Here is a 19,505-nt window from a genome sequence, read left to right on the forward strand (position 1 = left end):
TACTCCTCCAGCTCTGCTTTTGGCTTCTCCTCCAAAAGACCTCTATCATGTTGGAATTCCTTAAGATACAATTCTGGGTTTTCTTCTCTTCCCTAGCTATTCTCTTTCTAGGCGTTTTCAATAATTTCCACAGCATCAATTACTAACTATATGGAGATTCAGTTTTAAATGTATATCTCCAGCCTAGAAATTCCTCCTGGGCTCAAGATACCTATATCCAATATCTTATTTTACTATCTTTTATGCGTCTCACAGATATTTTAAATTGGATGTTAAAATTAAACTCTTGATTTCCTCCAAATTAGTTCCTCTCCAAGTCTTACTAATCTCAGAATGCAACAGCACCCTTCAATTACTCCCTCAAGCCAGAAAATATGAAGGCATCTGTGTTTCTATTATTTTCCTCATAGTTCACACACATATATACACACACGTACATACTTCTAACTCATCAGAAAATCCTAGTAATTCTACCTTCTAAATAGATTTGAATCCATATACTTTTCTCCGTGTCCAGTGTCACACTTTAGCACAGGCCATTCTTATCTCTTATATGGGTTGCCATGATAGCCTTTAATTGGTCTTCCATTTCTATTCCCCCTATTACCACCAGTTCACAGTAATTCATTCTAGACACAGTAACCAGGGTGATCTTTTTATGTAACCATGTAAATCTAATCATGTTACATTCCTGGTTAAACCTTTCAATGATTTTCAAATGCACTTGGAATAAAACTGAAAAAAGCCTTACCATGATCTACAAACTCTGAATAACCCTGCCCCTAAGTAACTCTTCTGTTTTACTTAGTACCATTCATTCCTTCATTCATTATATCCTTAATATGGCTTTTTATTTTTAGTTCCTAAGAGAAAACTACATCAGGGCTTTAGTTCTTGTTCTACAATCTTCCTTCAAGATTTTTTTTTTTTTTTTTACCAAGGAACTTGTATAACTGCTTCTTCTTGTTATTCCTGCCTCAGTGTATATGCTACCTGTACAAGGAGCCCTTTCATTTTAAATAATACCCCCCTTTATTCTGTTATAAAGCATCTTTGTTTTCTTCCACACATTTGTAAAATGCTGTTATTATTTGACTCACATATTTATTTAGAAAATTTTCCAGTCTTGTTCTTCATTATTATTGAATTCACACTGACCTCTAGCACTAAAATATCAAACACTTTCTATATAGTTTGAAAGCAAGTAATTGGTGACATATCATTTATATAAATAAAAAAGAGAAGCCAGTGGGTAAGCACCATATGAGGCTCCAAGTCCACACTCAGATTGTCAGAGAGAAGGTATGCCTAATTTCCAGGGAGACTTGCATGCCAACAAAAGAGAATATCCATTTTACATTCCTGTTTTCAAGACAATGTTTTATAGGAAGACTATTCTCATTTAAAAAGTTTATTAAACCATCGAACATTTGTGTCTACATTAACAAATATAGCATGCATGGCTACATTCAACATTATCTACTAAGTTTTGTTTGGGGAAAAATGTCCTTTTAACTCAAAAGACTATGCTTATATAACTGCTGTTATTATACACACACTTGACGTCTCTAAGAAATAAATTTAAATTCCTCTTCTTGTAATAGGTCTTTACAAAAACTTAATGGTACTTAAACTAGTAAATGACTTCCCAATATTTTGATTACTATGATTAAAATACCTGGCACACATAGCTTTAAGGTCAGTCAGTATCAAACTGTGAGCTGTGCAAGAAATATAGAATAGAGATCTATACGTGGACACTTTTTGTTTAATTGTCCTTTGAATAACATTCCAATGGCAATTGAATAGTGCAGCTGTTTGTAATCAACTTAGTACTGTGATCTCTTGAGAATGTATGATTTGTAACTGCTGCTGAATTTTGCATTTATGTTGGTCTAAATCAGGTTAGTTTATTTAAAAACTAGTGTGTTTTATAAGGGCAAAATATAAATAATAGCATTTATTAAAACTGCCTGTGATTTGTGAGCAATGTTATTCTAGAATTCCTTCCCACTCATCTTTCTGCTCAAAACAAGCTATTTTAAAATCATTTCCATGTAGCTAAACACGATGCTACTAACATGCTATCTGCAATATTCTAACTTTCCCAATTGAAGAGATGAACTTAAATGAGTCACATACATTCGATCAACTGGTGCTTTCTATGACCAAAAGCTTGCATTTGCCATATGTGTTGGGACGGGGAGGGAAGAGTAGAAAAAGTGAAACATCTATAAATAAAAGCTGTGATAGAGGCTGAATAAGGTTATAATTAACTTTTCTTAATCAATAAAACCACCTGTGAGTAAATATTATTGTTATTCTCATTTTAAATGTAAGGAAATGGAAACTAAGAGAAGTGAAATGGCTTGTACATCATCACACAGCTATGAGAGGCAAAAAGTTAAACCAGATCTGTTTCACTCTAAATCTTCACCTTTTAATGACCCTGCTATACAACTTCCCTAAGCTTTCAGAAGTTTAATGCATGTTTCTCACAAACATAAGACAAAAGTGGACAAGAAGCCAATATGAGGAATCCTTTTGGAAACTATTATATTATGCCAGGTTTTGAACTAGGGTGACCACAGTAAGAATGTTATATTTAGAAAATGAAGGAAAAAAATGGCTGATGGGAGGCAGGACTAACTTGCAGCTCCCATTCAGATTGACAGAGCAGCATGTGGAGACTCACTTTATAAACTTTTGCTCCAAGAACTACTGCAGAAACATTTCAGGAAAGCCAAGAGAATCCACAGACCCTTTAAAGGAAGCAGCTGGCTGCTACAGGCTCCATGAGACAGCTAAAAAACTGTGAGTGCCTGAAGTGTGAGAGAGGGAATGTCTGACCCTGAACACACAACCTCACTGGGGAACCTGAAGGTCCAGATCACAGGAGAAGGACCTTACCTGGAGCTGAGATGAATTTAGAGAGCCAAGTGAAATACAAGGGTAGAGGAAGCAGCAGGAAGAGCCCTGTTGGCACTCTCGTTCCCCAGGGAAGCCATTCCTGACTTTGTCTTGCAGGGCTCCTTGGGAAGGGATGCCAGTGGAATTAGGAAAAGACCACAGGGAGAAGGAAACTTCTAGGTGAACTTCGTAACAATTTTGACTAAATGCAAAGTTTCCTGGACACAATCTGGGGTAGGGAGTGAACCAGGAGTGCAGATATGAGCATAGAAACTGGTAGGTGGGGAGGCACAAAACCTGAAAGCCCTGCTTTCTTTCTCAGCAGGGAGGCTTGTAGTCTGGGGCAAAGTTCTCAGCCCTGCTCACTGGCTGCCTGGAAATAAACTTGGTGCTGTGGAGGGGCAGGGTCAGAGTGAGACTGGCCTTTCAGGCTGTGTGGGAGCTGGGTGAGGCCTGTCACTGCTCTTCTCCCACTTCCCTGGAGACCTCTATGACACAACATAATCCTCCCGGGGATGTAACTCCATTGGCCTGAGAACCACACACCTAGCCCCCACAGCAGCAGTACCAAGCCCTGTCTAAGGAGGGTCTGAGCTCAGACACACCTAACCATGCCCCCACCTGATGGTCTTTCTCTACCTGCCCTGGGAGCTAAAGACATAGGAAATAATCCCTTGGGAGCTCTACAGCCCTGCCCACTGCCTGAGAAACCCAAATACTTATCCAGGCAACTCTAAGGAGAGCTGGTATCCTCCCTATACTACAACAGCTGATGCTCTCTTGAAAGTGCCACCTCCTGGCTGGAGGCCAACCAACACAAAACCAGTGCACTAAACAAAAACACGACCAAGGACTTACACAGAGTCCACTTCACTCCCCAGCTACCTACACAAGAGCAGGTGCTGGTATTCACACCTGAGAGACCTGAAGATGGATCACATCGCAGGACTCTTTGCAGACACTCCCCAGTACCAGCCCAGAGCCAGGTTGCTAGCCACAGGGTTGCTAGACCCAGAAGAGAAATAACAATCATTGCAGTTTGGCCCTCAGGAAGCCCGATCCATAAGGAAAGGGGGACAGCACAATGAAGGAGCACCCTGTGGGACAAAAGAATCTGAACAACAGCCCTTGAGCCCCACATCTTCCCTCTAAGATAGTCTACCCAAGTGAGAACAAACCAGAAAAACAATTCTGGTAATATAACAAGACAAGGTTTGTTAACATGCACAAAATATCAAACAAGCTCACCAGCAATGGATAAAAACCAAGAATAAATCTCTGAATTGCCAGGAAAAGAATTCAGAAGGTTGATTATTAAGTTACTCAAGAGGCAACAAAGAAAGGCTAATATCAACTTAAATTAAAAAAAGATAAAAGATGTGGATGAAAAAATCTACAGAGAAACAGATAGCATGAAACAATCACAACTTCTTGAAATGAAGGACACACGTAGAGAAATGCAAAATACACTGGAAGTATCAGCAATCAAAGAAGTAGAAGAAAGAACTTCAGAGCTCAAAGAAAAGGCTTTTGAATTAACCCAGTCTGACAGAGACAAAGAAAAAACAATTTTAAAAAAATGAACAAAGCCTCCAAGAAGTATCGAATTAAATGACTGAACCTAAGAATAATGGGTATTCCTGAGGGAGAAGAGAAATCTAAATGTTTGGGAAGCATATTTGAGGGAAAAATCAAGAAAACTCCCTGGCTTTGTTAGAGATCTAGAAGCTTAAAGACCACTCCGGAAATTCATTGCAAAAAATCATCACCTAGGCACATAGTCATCAGGTTATCTAAAGTCAAGACAAAGGAAAGAATCTTAAGAGCTGTGAGGCAAAAGCGCTGGATAACCTATAAAGGAAAATCTATCGGATTAACAGCAGATTTCTCAGCAAAAAGCCCACAAGCTAGAAGGAATTGGGTTCCTATTTTTAGCTTCCTTATATAAAACAATTATCAGTCAAGAATTTTGTATCCAGCAAAACTAAGCTTAATAAATGAAGGAAAGATACCATCTTTTTCAGACAAATGCTGAGAAAATTTGCCAGTACCAAGCCAGCTATACAAAATTGTTAAAAGGAGCTCTAGACTGGGCGTGGTGACTCAGGCCTGTAATCCTAGCACTTTGGGAGGCCGAGGTGGGTGGATCACTTGAGGTCAGGAATTCAAGACCGTCCTGGCCAACCTGATGAAACTACATTCTACTAAAAATACAAAAATTAGCGGAGCGTGGTGGTGGGTGCCTGTAATTCCAGCTACTTGGGAGACTGAGGCAGAAAAATCGCCTGAACCTGGGAGGTGAAGGTTACGGTGAGTTGGGATCATGCCACTGCACTCCAGTCTGGGTAACAGAGAAAGACTCTGGAAAAAAAAAAAAAAAAAGCTCTAAATCTTGAAACAAATCCTTGAATACACCATAATAGAACCTCCTTAAAGCATAAATCTCACAGGGCATATAAAACAATAACACAATGAAAAAAAAGGTATTCAGGTAACAACTAGCATGATGAATAGAATACTACCTCACTTATCAATATTAAAGCAGTACAAATATGGAGCCAGCCCAAATGCCTATCAATCAACAAGTGCATAAAGAAAATGTGGTATATATATATTTCATGGAATACTACTCAGCCATAAAAAGGAACAAAATAATGGCATCCACAGCAACCTGGATAGGGTTGGAGACCATTATTCCAACTGAAGTAACTCAGGAATGGAAAATCGAACATTGTATGTTCTCACTCATAAGTGGGAGCTAAGCTATGAGGACACAAAGGCGTAAGAATGATACAATAAAGGACTTTGGGGACTAAGGGGAAATGGGTGAGGGGACTGAGGGATAAAAGGCTACACATTGGCACATTGGGTAGAGTGTACACTGCTCAGTGATGGATGCACCCAAATCTTGGAAATCGCCACTAAAGAAATTGTCTATGTAAAAAATACCACTTGTTCCCCAGAAACCTATTGAAATAAAAAATTAAAAAAATAAGTAAAATTAAAAAAAATCTTGTTTTAACAACAAAAAAAAAACACCAAATACATTCAAATATCCTTAAAAGAATAAATAAAATGAAAAACAAGCGAGATTACTAGAAGAGTACTTAGTGACTCATTGGACATAGAAGGATTGGACTGAGTCAATGATAAATGGGATAATGATAGTGACACTAGCAAAAAAAGTGAAGTCAAAAAGAAATGACCCTTAAATATATGAAGATATATTTATCACATATAATTAAAGAAATGCAAATTAATAATACACTGAAATACTCTGCTATCAGATAAGCAACAATTTGAAAATATGCCAAGACTCCGGTTTCAGCAATGACATGTGAAAGACCTTAGAAGTTGTCACTCTCATCCTTACAACAAGCAAAAAAAACCTGATAAACTGAAAATTAATGATTTTTCTTGGAACCATTAGAGAATTGAAGTAACGGAGCAAGTCAGCATCTGGAAATCTCTACAGATGAGAATCCAGAGAGTCATAGCAAAGATCTGCTTACCTAAAGCAAGAGTGGCTGGAACCATAATATGGTAGGACCACTTCAATGGTAATTTTGACTGCATTCATAGAGGATAAATGAAGAGGTGCAATAGAAGTGAGAATCTTATGGCAGCCCAGCTTTACGAAACTCCTACAAAATAATAATTTTACCTTCAGAAACCCCGGTAGGTTCTCACAGTAAGAATTCTGAGGAGTTCCCCTCCTGGCTTTAGCAGGAGAAGAAGAGTAATCATTGTGAAATATTCTCATGATGTCCTCCACAACAAAGAGCTGTTCTACAAGGAAAAAGACTACCAGAGCCTTATTCCGGTTGGCAGAAGGATATTCCTTTCGCTCCAGCCTTCCTGTCTCACCAAAGGACAACATGTGGTGGGAGGAGGTATACCACTGAATAAACACTTGTGAGGAGACATTTGGCCATTAAAATGTTGAAAATTAATCAAAATATTCTGGAAAGTTGTTCCTCTTTCATACCTAACACCACACTAACAAGGCCTAGAGAATAATTTATAGCCTTAAATAAATATATTAGGGAAAAAAATCTCATCTTAATGACCTAAGATTTCACCATAGAAAAATAACAAAAAATTTTAAGTAAAAAAAGGAGAAAATAGTGAAATTATAAAAATTAGAGCAAAAACCAATGAAACGGAACACAGAGAAACAATAGAAAAAAGAATGAAAATACAATCTGTTGTTATACAAATATTAATAAAATTGATACAAATCTAGCTAAGCTAAACAAGAATTTTTGACTTCACTTTTTTTGCTAGCATCACTATCTTAATGGGTCATTATTACTGATTGCATGTATTTTAAAAGGATAATAAAGAAATACCATGAACAATTTTTTACCACAAATTTGATCATTTAGATGAAACTGACAAATTCCTTAAAAGACACAAACTACCAAAAGTAATATAAGAGAAAAAAATAATCTGCAAGACTTGTATCTATTAAAAATTAAATCAATAATTAATAACTTACTAAAAGAGAAAGCAACAAACCCAGATAGTTTTGCTGGCAAATTCTATCGAATACTTACTGAGGAAACAGTATCAATTCTCCACAATCTTTTCTAAGAGATAAAAGAAGTAGGAACACTTCTTAATTCATTCTACGAGGCCACCATCCCCTTAATTCCAAAACCAGACTAAAGACATTACAAGAAAGGAAAACTATAGGCCAACATCTCCCTTGATCAGAGATGGAAAAATCCTCGACAAAATAGGAAATTGAATCCAGCAATGAATATATAAAATTATATACCATCATCAAGTAGGATTTCAGTTGTGTAACACTGGCTCGAGATTTAAAAATCAGGCCGGGTGTAGTGGCTCACACCTGGAATTTCAGGGCTGTGAGAGGCCGAGGCAGGTGGATCGCTTGAGCCCAGGATTTCAGGACCAGCCTAGGCTTTGAACAAAGCGAGACCCAGGCCCTGGCATGGTGGCTCACCCCTGTAATCCCAGCAATTTGGGAGTCTGAGGTGGACAGATTGCTAGAAACCCGAAGTTCAAGATCAGCTTGGGCAACATGGCAAAACCTCATCTGCACTAAAACTAAACTAAACTAACTAAATAAATAAATTGGACTAAATTTTAAAAAATAAATAAAAATTTAAAAAATCAATCTGTATAATTTCCTAAATCAACAGACTAAATAAGAAAAATCATACAATCACATCAATTGATACTGGAAAAATACATGACGAAATTCTTAAACTATTCATAGTTTTAGAAAATTTAATAAACTATTAATATAGTGTATTTTTTTCAGTGTGATAAAGAACATCTTCAAAAAGTTTATGGTTAACAAAGTACTTGATGGTAAGAAACTGGATATTTTTCCCTTAAGGTCCAGAAAAAGAGAAGGATATTATCTTTTATCACTCTTATTCAGTATCGTCTTAGCAGTGCCACATATTGCAATAAGACAATAAAATGAAATTAAAGTTGTATACATTAAAAAAAATAAAATGCCTTTGTTTACAGATGACATTATTGTACACGTAGAAACTTTTTTAAATCGACAACACGAAAATCTCCCAGGACAAATAAAAGACTATAACAAGGTCACAGGAATACAAAGTTAACATACAAAAGTCAATCTACAAAACTGTATTATACTCAGGTGACGGATACCCTAAATGCTCTGACTTTGATGACTATGTAATATATATATATATAAAGTATTATGTATTAAATACCTTTATACAAATAAAGGAAAGAAAAATAAATAAGAACTGATGGATAGATAGATTAGAAAGAAAGCTAGATTGATAGGTGTGTGTGTGTGCGTGTGTGTTTGTGTTAGTATATACCCACTCTGTATACCGTTTGCCTTCAGCAAGCACCTCAGTGGGTTGTGTTTTTTATTCGTGGTGGAGCGACCCAAACATTCATTCCTGAAGGGTCTAGGTCATTTGTAGTCCTGCCTGGATTTGGCTGTTGTAGTTTCCCATTGACCTGAATCACAGGGCATGGTAATACTAAAAGATGCCCTAAAGGATTTCCTGTATTCTACACATACTCTTCCTTACTTCCATTGCGGAGTAGTAGACTGATTTCATTTTGATAGTCTGGGTCAGTCACTCCAACCAACACTGTAACTCCTTTCTTAGCCTGTTGACTTAGAGGTAGGAGGAGCCCAAAGTAACTAGGTGACAAGCTTAACTTCAAGTTCAATGGAATCATTGTGTCTCCTGATGGCAGCATTCCCCCTTCTGGTACTAAGATGTCTAGGCTAGCAGAACATAATGTGGTGGGAACAGGAAGCAAAAATTTTGTTAATGGGTCATTAGGGGTGATGGTGAGTGGTGCCACTTCCACTTCCACCCCTTCATTAATGTACCCATGAATCCTGACTATGGGAGAAACAGTACCATATATTGGACACAGATTCAGGACATACACAGCCTTCTGGAGAACTTTGCCACAGCACTGCAAAGTATTGTCATCTAGTTAGCATTGTAATTGTGATTTCAAAAGGCCATTCCATTGTTCTATCATTCCAGCTGCTTCAGGATGATGGAGAACACAGAAAGACCAGTGAATTCCGTGAGCATGAGTGCACTGTCACACTTCTTTAGCTGTAGACTGAGTGCCTTTGTCAGAGGCAATGATCACTGTGAGCATTGGTGCCATATCAAAGGCTCAGTGTTGGTCTCTGCTGCCAGTAAAGAGGGCACTCAGTGGTGGCTGTAGCCAGATCAACCTTGGTGAGTGGAAGTCCATGTAGCTGAGCCCATGGGTAAACTCCATCCCTGCCACCATGGCCACTTTGTTCATGAGCCTATTGGGCAATGACAGGGGTGGCTGGGGAGAGAGACAGAGTGCTGTCCATAGAACAAGTCATCCTATCCGTTTGATTATTAAAATCCTCCTCTGCTGAGGTCACACTTTGGTGAGCATTCACATGAGATACCAATATCTTCACAGTTTTTGACCACTCAGGTCCATCCACATACCTCTTCCCCAAATTTCTTTGTCACCAATTTTCCAATTATGCTTCTTCCAAGTCCCTGACTATCCAGCCAATCATTGTCTATAGCCCATGAATCAGTATATGATCGCACAACTGGCCATTTCTCCTTCCGAGCAAAGTGAACAACCAGGTGCACTGCTCAAAGTTCTGTCCACTGGGAAGATTTTCCTTTGCCACTGTCCTTCAGGGATGGCCTAGAAAGGGGCTATAGTGCTGCAGCTGTCCACTTTTGGGTGGTGCCTGCATATCATGCAGAACCATCTGTGAATCAGGCCCTAGTCTTCTCTTCTTCTGTCAACTGATCACAGGGAACTACCCATGTGACCGTCGGTGCAGGCTGGGGGAGGGCAGGCAGATTGGCAGGAGCGGAGAACCTAGGCATTTGAGCCACTTCGTCATGTAACTTACTTGTGCCTTCCAGAACTGCTCGAGCTTGATCACATATATACCGCTTCCATCTGATGATGGAATGCTGCTGTGCATGCCCAATTTTATGAACAAATGGCTTAGAAAGCACCCAATTTATGATAGTCAGCTCAGGTCATATGGTGACTTGATGACCAATAGTCAAACGTTGTGTTTCTACTGTAGCCCAGCAACAAGCCAAGAGCTGTCTCTCAAAGGGAGAGTAGTTATCTGCAAAGGATGGCAAGGCTTTGCTCCAAAACTGGAGAGGCCACCACTGTTATTCACCTATGGGGGCGTGGCAAAGGCTCCAAACAGCATCTCTATCTGCAACTGACACCTCAACCACCATTGGATCCGCTGATCATATGGCCCAAGTGGCAGAGCAGCTTGCACAGCAGCCTGGACCCCTTCTGGAGCCTTCTCCTGTTCTGGACCCCACTCAAAACTGGCAGCCTTTTTGGTCACTCGATAAATGGGCCAGAGTAACACACCCAAATGGGAAATGTGTTGCCTCCAAAATCCAAATAGGCACACTAGGCCTTGTGCCTCTTTCTTGGTTGTAGGAGGGGCCAAATGCAGCAACTTATTTTTCACCTCAGAAGGAATTATCTCGACAGGCCCCACACCATTAGACCCCTAAGAATTTCATTGAGGTCGAAGATCCCTGAATTTTAGTCAGATTTATTTCTATCCTCTGGCACTCATATGTCTCACCAATAAGTCCAGCGTGTTTGGGACTTCTTGCTCACTGGATTCAATCAGCATAATGTCACCAATGTAATGGACCAGTGTGATATCTTGTGGAAGGGAAAAGTGATTCAGATCTTTGCAAAGAATATTATAACACAAAGCCAGAGATTTGATATGCCCCTGAGGTAGGACAGTAAAGGTATTGCTGGCCTTGTCAGCTGAAGGCAAATTGCCTCTGCTGGGCCTTATGGACAGGAATGGAGAAAAAGACATTTACCAAATCAATGGCTGTATACCAGTTACCAAGAGATGTGTTAATTTGCTCCAGCAATGAAACCACATCTGGTACAGCAGCTGCAATTAGAGTTACCACTTGGTTAAGCTTATGATGATCTACTGTCATTCTCCAAGATCCATCTGTCTTCTGCAAAGGCCGAATAGGAGAGGTGAACAAAGATGTGGTGGGAATCACCACCACTGCATTTTTCAAGCCCTTGATGGTGGCACTAATCTCTGCAATCCCTTTAGGGATGCGATATTATTTTGTATTTACTATATTTCTAGGTAGAGGCAGCTCTAATGGCTTCCATTTGGCCTTTCTCACCATAATAGCCCTCATGCCACCAGTCAGGGAGCCAATGTGAGGATTCTGCCAGCTGCTAAGTATGTGTATGCCAATTATGTGTTCTGGCATTAAGGAAATGACTACAGGATGAGTCTGGGGACTTACTGGACCCATTGTAAGCTGGACCTGAACTAAAAGTCCATTAATTACCTGACCTCCATAAGCCCCTACTTTAACTGGAGGACCACAATGACGTTTTGAGTCCCCTGGAATCAATGTCAGCTCAGAGCCAGTATCCACTAGTCCCTGAAAAGTCTGATCATTCCCCTTTCCCCAGTGCACAGTTACTCTGGTAAAATGCTGGAGGTCTCCTTGGGGAAGGATAGAAGTATTAACAGCATAAATTGTTGGTAGTGAAGTGGGGTCCTTCCTCAAGGGGACCCAGTCTCCCCTTGATTCAAGGAGTTCTGGGTCTGTAAACTGATTCAAGTCTAAAAATTGATTGAGGGGCTGTAATTCTCTATTTTTATAATTCAAATTACTCTTTTGTACAGTCAAACTCGAAGTTTTCTGCTTATTCAAATTAAGTAAGAATGCAGTAGGTTTCCTGTCAATTTCACTTCCAGGAACATCATGATTAATTAGCCAACGCCAGAGCTCTACACGAGTCAGACTATTCTGATTGCTTCTTTGCCTCTGCTGTCCATTATGGTAACTGTGCCCACCTTGCCTTTGACGGTTGAGTGCTGCCACTTGGTCCCTGCTGCCTCAGAATCCAATTATTCTCATTGCATTTAAATTTTCTAATTGAGTTACTGTGGTTCCCATTGTTAGATCTGGCATGCAGAGAAGAGCAATCACAGCAGAGCTCTTCAAGGATCCAGATGCTCACCTCATAAATATATTTCACAAAGTATTAGTGAAGGTTATGTCTTCTGGATGCCCCCCACCGGAACGAATAGGTCTGAAGTGACTAATCCACTTCAGCATCCCAATCTCCCTAAGCCTTTGGATCCATCCCTTCCCCTACATTAAACCACAGGAGATCAGGCATTTTCAGCTCGCTCACATGGACCATCTTTTGATCCATATTTCAGCTAACCAAGCAAATAAACTATTAGAACCTTTTTTAAATCCCTGAGCTGCAACATTAAATGCAGGATCCCTGCTTAGTGGGCCCATATCAATACATTCAGCCTGATCCAACTTTTGTTCCTTCCACCATTATCCCACACCTTTAATATCCATTCCCATGCCTGTTCTCCAGATTTCTGCTCATATAAATGAGAAAATTCAAGCAATTCTTTTGGAGTGTAGTGTACCTCCTTGTGGGTCACACTCTGTGTTTCACCTCTAGGGGCCTGCTGGGACTTTAGTTATAGGTCAAGAAGCAAACAAGGGTGTTGGGGGGCAGATCCTGAGGAGGATCAGCATTGCCTTGCTTGGCAACTGCCTCAGGGGAGGCCATCATGTTGCTTCAGGCAGTGCATGGTTAATCTCCTCAGACAAAGGTGCAAAGGCTGATGGCAGCCTGGACGGGGGAAGGGATGTTGCCACCACTGGGTGTGACGAGGCTGTTTCCTCTGGCAAATAAGGCTTATCAGAATTTAGGAGCTCAGTGCCCACAGCCTTATCAGGGTCCTCCCATACATCTCCATTCCAAGTTGCAGGGTCCCATTCTTTTCTAATCAATGCCCTCACTTTAACAGTAGACACCTCCTGAGGCTGATCATGCACCTTTTGTTGCAGGTCAGCCACTCTCATGATAAGAGCTTGTGTTTGATTTTCTGTAATTTTTTCCCTTTATCTACAGGAGATAAGACTCTCGCTCAGGGTAACCTTAGAAAGAATTGAGGCTCAGTAGGTGCTTCTGGAGCTGGGAGTTATTATCCCTGAGCTCATCCTTTTCTTTCTTCACTTTGTCCAGCAAACCTAGGTGCAACCAACTAACTTCATTATATTCCTTGGTTCTCCACATAGGGCCAAAGGTATTGTGTATAGAGCCACTAAACTTCTTGCCTCTCACCAGCGGTGAATCAGGAGTATCAAATGCATTTATTTTACATAACACTCTAAACAGTTCATGCCAAAGACTATCAGTGTTCTCCATACTATTAGAAGTAGAGTTCTTAGCATTTTGGGGTCTAATCACGTTAAGTGGCCAACTCCAGAAAACCCAAAACCAACTAAAGAAATCCATCCTTAAAATTCTCTTCCTTTAGAATGACTCCCAGTACCAAAATCTGTATTAATCAGGGTTCTCTAAAGGGACAGATAAAGTAATAGATGTATATATGAAGGGGAGTTTATTAAGGAGTATTGCCTCACAGGATCACAAGGTAAAGTCCCACAATAGGCCATCTGCAAGGTGAGGAACAAAAAAGACAGTACATGTCCCAAAACCTCAAAAGTAGGGAAGCTGACAGTGCGGGCTTCAGTCTGTGGCCGATGGCCCAAGAGCCCCTGGCCAATCACTGGTGTAAGTCCAAGAGTCCAAAAGCTGAAGAACTTAGAGTTTAATGTTGGAGGGCAGGAAGTATCCAGCACGAGAGAAATATGGAGGCTGGAAGACTGTGCAAGACAAGTCCTTCCACATTCTTTTGCCTGCTTTATTCTAGCCATGCTGGCAGCAGATTATTATGAGATAGTGACAACCCAGATTGAGGGTGGATCTGCCTCTCCCAGTCCACTGACTCAATTGTTAATCTCCTTTGGTAACACCCTCCCAGACATACCTAGGAACAATGTTTTGCTTCCTTCAATCTAATCAAGCTGACATTCAATATTAACTGTCACTAGGGAAAACTGGGTGTGAAGTATATGAGAATTTTCTGCACTATCTTCACAATTATTGTGTACATTTTATAACTCTTCTAAAATATGCAAAAACATTATTTAAAAATGTATGACAACTCATTCTATTAGTGAGGCTGTGAGGAAATATGCACTCATACGTACAGATTCACATTCTGGTGGGAATACAAATTGCTATAACTCTTATGAAGGGGAATTGGACGATATCTAACAAAAATATACATGGGTTTATCATTCAAGCCATCAGTTCGTCTTCTAGGAATTTACTCAGAAAATATACTTTCAACAGTACAAAAATACACAAGGTTATTTGAGGCAGCAATGTTTTGAAATACATAATGCTGAAAACATCCTAAATGACCTCACTTAAGACAATGGTTGAATACATTATGGCGCATCCACATAATGGGTTGTTATGCAACAGCAAAAAAGAATGAAGAAGAATAGATAAACTGCTATGGAGTAACATTCAGGATATATTATTAAATGAAAAACTTAAGTGCCAAGAGTATCTATGTTATGCTACTTTTGTGTAATAATTACATGAAAGTAACAGAACATTGTGCACAGATATCTGCTCATTTTTAGAAAAAAATAGGAAAGATAAGTTAGAAACTAAAAGGATTAGTTACTTATGAGGGGCGAATAAAGATAAAAGAAAGAATGGTAGATAGGAATGAGTTAGAAGGGATTGGGTGCAAGTTAGACTTTTCTAAGTATATCTTTCTGAATAGTTTTAATTTTTGCAACCAGGCTCATGTTTTACATACTAATAAATAAGTAGATATATGAAAACATAAACAAAAAATATATACATACATACATTTAACAAGGATGGGAGAGAGACTTGGAAATGAAGTACAAGCAGAAATAAATTAGACTGTTTGTCACATAAATAACATAAGCATAATCACATTGAAGGTAGGTAGGGAGATGGTAATTTACCCAAGTAATTCTTGAAGATACTATTTTGACTCTACAGCCTCAGGTTAAAGACATACAGAATGGTAAACAAATATTGTACTCCAAATAAGTAGGTTGACTTTTCATAGGAGCAAAGGGTTAGCAATTCTTAAACAAATTTATACATGTTCCAAGATTAAGCAAATCAGTTAATACATTGTGAAGAAGGAGAATCAATTTTCTCACTGTCTTTGAATGAATTACAAATGAGGAAACAAGAAAGGCTGGAATGAACCTTGTGATATTGGATTAGAATCAGTATGAATTCAGCATTTTAAACATATAAACACATAGCTATAGAAATAAAGATGTACATGGGTAAGTATATATATACTTATGTTCCCTAGCTCTGTCCATTAAGAGGGCCTAGAAGCAAGGATACTCTAGTACCAATGAGCACACCAAATGCCTAAGGAGGCTGAGTCTCAGCCTAGAGCCTAGCATAGTGCTTAGACCTGGATGTTCAATAAATGATAAATATCATCATCATCATCATCATCTCACTTTAGTATCATAAGGAAAGTTGACTGCATGTACAGAAAAACTTTAAACAAATGAAGGCAAGAGAATGAAGACACAAATAAAGAAAGGATAATTGAAGGGCCACACTTCTGATGGAGTAGGAAGGAATAGCCTTCCCTATGTAAGAAATTTTCACCTTGGAAAAAAAGTTACTTCTGCCTCTAAGAGAGGAGGGAGGAGAAGAAAATAATTGAAGACATATGTAGACATGTTAAGATTGAAAAGAAAATACCTTTAATTGCCTCAGAAAAAAATATGACTAAAGCCATCTAATTACAGCAAGGAATGTGGATGGAGAAGGGAATATTGGACAAGGTCAGGACCGCCACTTCTAGAGAAATGTGATACCGGGACAAGATATGACTAAAAATGTCTGCAGAGCAGCAGAGAGTGCCTACCTCAAGTTAAGTAACATGAATTTGCGGTGAATTCAGTGCATTTCATAATACTAGAGTTATTATTAAAAAGACACTGTTTATTATTTAATTGGTTTTGAATTGTTTCTTATGAATTAACTTTGTCTCTCCAATTATAACTTTCTTAGGCAAGAGGACATTTCTGACATAATGTTTATATCTTCCATTGCACTTATTACAGTGCTAGCGATATAACACATACCCAGCAGAAGGTTGATAGCATATAAACAACTACATTTTCAACTTGGCCTTTATGATGTCCCTGCTTCTGGATTTTGTTTAGTTCTTCTGCTATTTTCCAGGTAGGCCAGAGAGATGCATTAATTTCCTTATAGAAATCGGTTGATTACCAACAAAGTTCAGAGAGAAGAAAGGACAGCACAGACACTCTTGTGTTTACTAACAGTGGATCATATGTGGCAAACTCATCATGGGATAGCATCCGATAGTCCATGAATATATAGGATAATAAAATTTATTCAACATCCTCCTAAGAATAATGTAATTAAAAAAGAAATCCACTTCTCAAATACCCCAAATTTTACCCCAAAGTCTAATTGGCATTTGAATTATTCACTATCTTGAGTTACTCTTATCACCACTTCCTATCAGGGGATATCCAAGATATGACTACACCTTAAGTGCCAACCACTTCTCCAAGGTTGCGGACTAGTGATACCAGAGAAGCAAGTGCTCTCATCAGAAGAGGACATTTTGAACTGCAGCTTTTCTCCAGGCTCACAAGTTTAATTTCAGCCTAACAGCTGCACTGCAGTCCATGAAATATTTACATTGTTTCTTGCAAAATTATATACATTATTTACCATACCATCTATTAAATATTTACCACCTTTCCAAATACGTCATGTAGCACACTCCACTGCTCTTGTTTCTTTTAGCATTAAAATAGAAAAGGCCAAGCCCTGCAGGAGCCTGGAGAAAGTAGCTATGACAAAGAAGAAAGCAGAGGAGGAAAAATGTGAAAGGAAGCAGAAGGCAGCTATCTAAAAACAGGCTCAGTATTACACACTCCCTATTTTCTTCACTTTGCCTTCCCCTAACTGGAATGATCATTTCTTTCACTTGGAGAAGGTATTTTTCCCCCAATAATTTATATATACAAACAGCCTAATAGAAACTGTTCTGGAAATAAGCTATATTATCTTCAGGAGCCATATTCCAAAATAGCCAGGTATGTAAAATCATCTATTAAGAAAGGCTTATGGTGATATCAGAAGTCAAGACATCATCCCACCTTATTCAGAACTCTTCCCTACAGAAAACAGAATAATTGAATTAATTCGGTATAATATAATATAATATAATATAATATAATATAATATAAATGAAATACATTCAGCACTCCCTAAGCAATGCGATCTTTCACTCTCTGGTAAATATGAAAATTACTAATAGATGTGTTGTCAATAAGACATATATGGTACTTGTGATCAGTAAAAGGTGCCCAACTATGAAAACTGTTGATGGTGTCAGGGATGCAAAACAACAAAAGAACTAATTGGTTTCCAGTTAAGCAAGATTTTCCTTAACTTGCTCATTGTCCCCAAAGTAGGCTTTTTAGAGATTGCTAGTTAGCTACCAACTATGTATTCTCCTCTACTGAAATTAACAGAAACTTGATGTTTACAGGTACACACCAAAAGACCGTATTTTCCAGTTTTCCTGGCACCTGCAGGTAGCATATAAATATGTTTCCACCAATAGAAGTAAGTGGAAATGCTGTGTGAGACTTCCAGAGGTGCCTTTATAATGGAGGGATACATAGCTTGCTTGCTTTCTTCCTCCGTCCTGCTGTTTGAAAGCTGAAGATGATGACTGCTGCAGCAGTAGCCATCTTGAATCATAAAAATAAAGGCCATATCATCGGAATCAAACTGATAAAAACTGGACAAGTCTGGCGTTCTGATGATGGTGGAGCTGCCACACCATCCCTTAATGGTCTACCTCAACACTGGTTTCACATGAGAGAGAAATAACTCTGTCACATTTAAACTACTATAATTTAGGTCACTTCTACATGTAGCCAGACTTAAACTATACCAATACAACTAGGTGTATGCACTATTTCTCCCTCTCAACCATTTCAACCTACAAGTATTGTGTATCCTTATGTAGGTCTATTTGCTATCAATTTTTTTCTGAGCACAATTACTTACATCTTAGTGGTGCAAGTACTATGGGTAATTTCAGTCATGGTTATCTGTCTACTCAGCATGAAAGACTGTCTTTGTTTCTACTCATCTGAAGTCAGAGAATACCCTTCTATAGTAATTATGAACAACCTAAATTATTTTTCCTCCAATTTAGATTGGACTGGGTTACAAATGGGTTAGTGCTGCCAATATGCTGAAACATATTATTTATGTCCATATCCTTGGAGCTGTCAAGACCTTGCTGGTTAATTTTCATTTGTTGGATTGAGTAGTTATTTGCAACTACCATGCAGATATAAATGCATTAATACATTTGACTTAGACCCAGAAATTAAATTCCTAAAGCCTCATTTGTTTCCCATACAAAATAGTTTGAAAATTTTCTTAAACTACACTTCAGGTCAACAAACAATTTTTGGATGCTTATCATATGTTACCATATGTTAGGAAATATAAAGCATGCTTAGATGAGATTCAACAAGTCCAAAACACATAAGTAGAATCTCAAGAGGGAGAGGGGGCAGACAATTTGTTATTATTATCATTTTAATTGGTCAATAATATTGTGTGTTTTTATCACGTACAACATGATGTTTTGAAGTATATATATTGTGGAATGGTGCAATATCTCACACAGCTATCATTTTTGTGTAACATCACATAGCATCCATTCTCTTTACATCTTAATACACTATAACATTATTAACTATAGTCACCTTATTATACAATAGATCTCTTGAAATTTATTTCTCTAATTTAACCGTAGTTACGTATTCCTTGACCAATATCTCCCTATCTCTCCTCCCAACCAGCCTAGCTTCTAGTACACAGCATTCTACTCTCTACTTCTATGAGATCAACTTTTCTAGATTCCACAAATGAGTGAGATCATGCAGTATTTATTTCTCTGGGCCTGACTTATTTCATTTAATATAATGTCCTCCAGGTTCATCCTTGTTGTCACAAATGACAGGATTTCATTTCTTTTTATGGCTGAATAGTATTCCATTGTGCATATATACCACATTTTCTTTATCAATTAA

General features: G+C 38.6%; 1 long non-coding RNA gene across 2 annotated transcripts in view; it reads left to right on the plus strand.

Annotated features, from left to right (window-relative positions):
* Positions 1-19,505, plus strand: part of LOC101928359 (uncharacterized) — a 56,076-nt gene that overhangs the window by 20,985 nt on the left and 15,586 nt on the right. The window contains exon 2 of one of the 2 annotated variants that reach the window (XR_001755950.2): positions 16,152-16,275. The exons of the other annotated variant lie outside the window; for it this stretch is intronic. This is a non-coding gene — a long non-coding RNA (uncharacterized LOC101928359). The remainder of the gene's footprint in view (positions 1-16,151; positions 16,276-19,505) is intronic. 2 annotated transcript variants of the gene reach the window in all.

This window comes from Homo sapiens, chromosome X (assembly GCF_000001405.40).
Source record: "Homo sapiens chromosome X, GRCh38.p14 Primary Assembly".
NCBI lineage: Eukaryota > Metazoa > Chordata > Mammalia > Primates > Hominidae > Homo > Homo sapiens.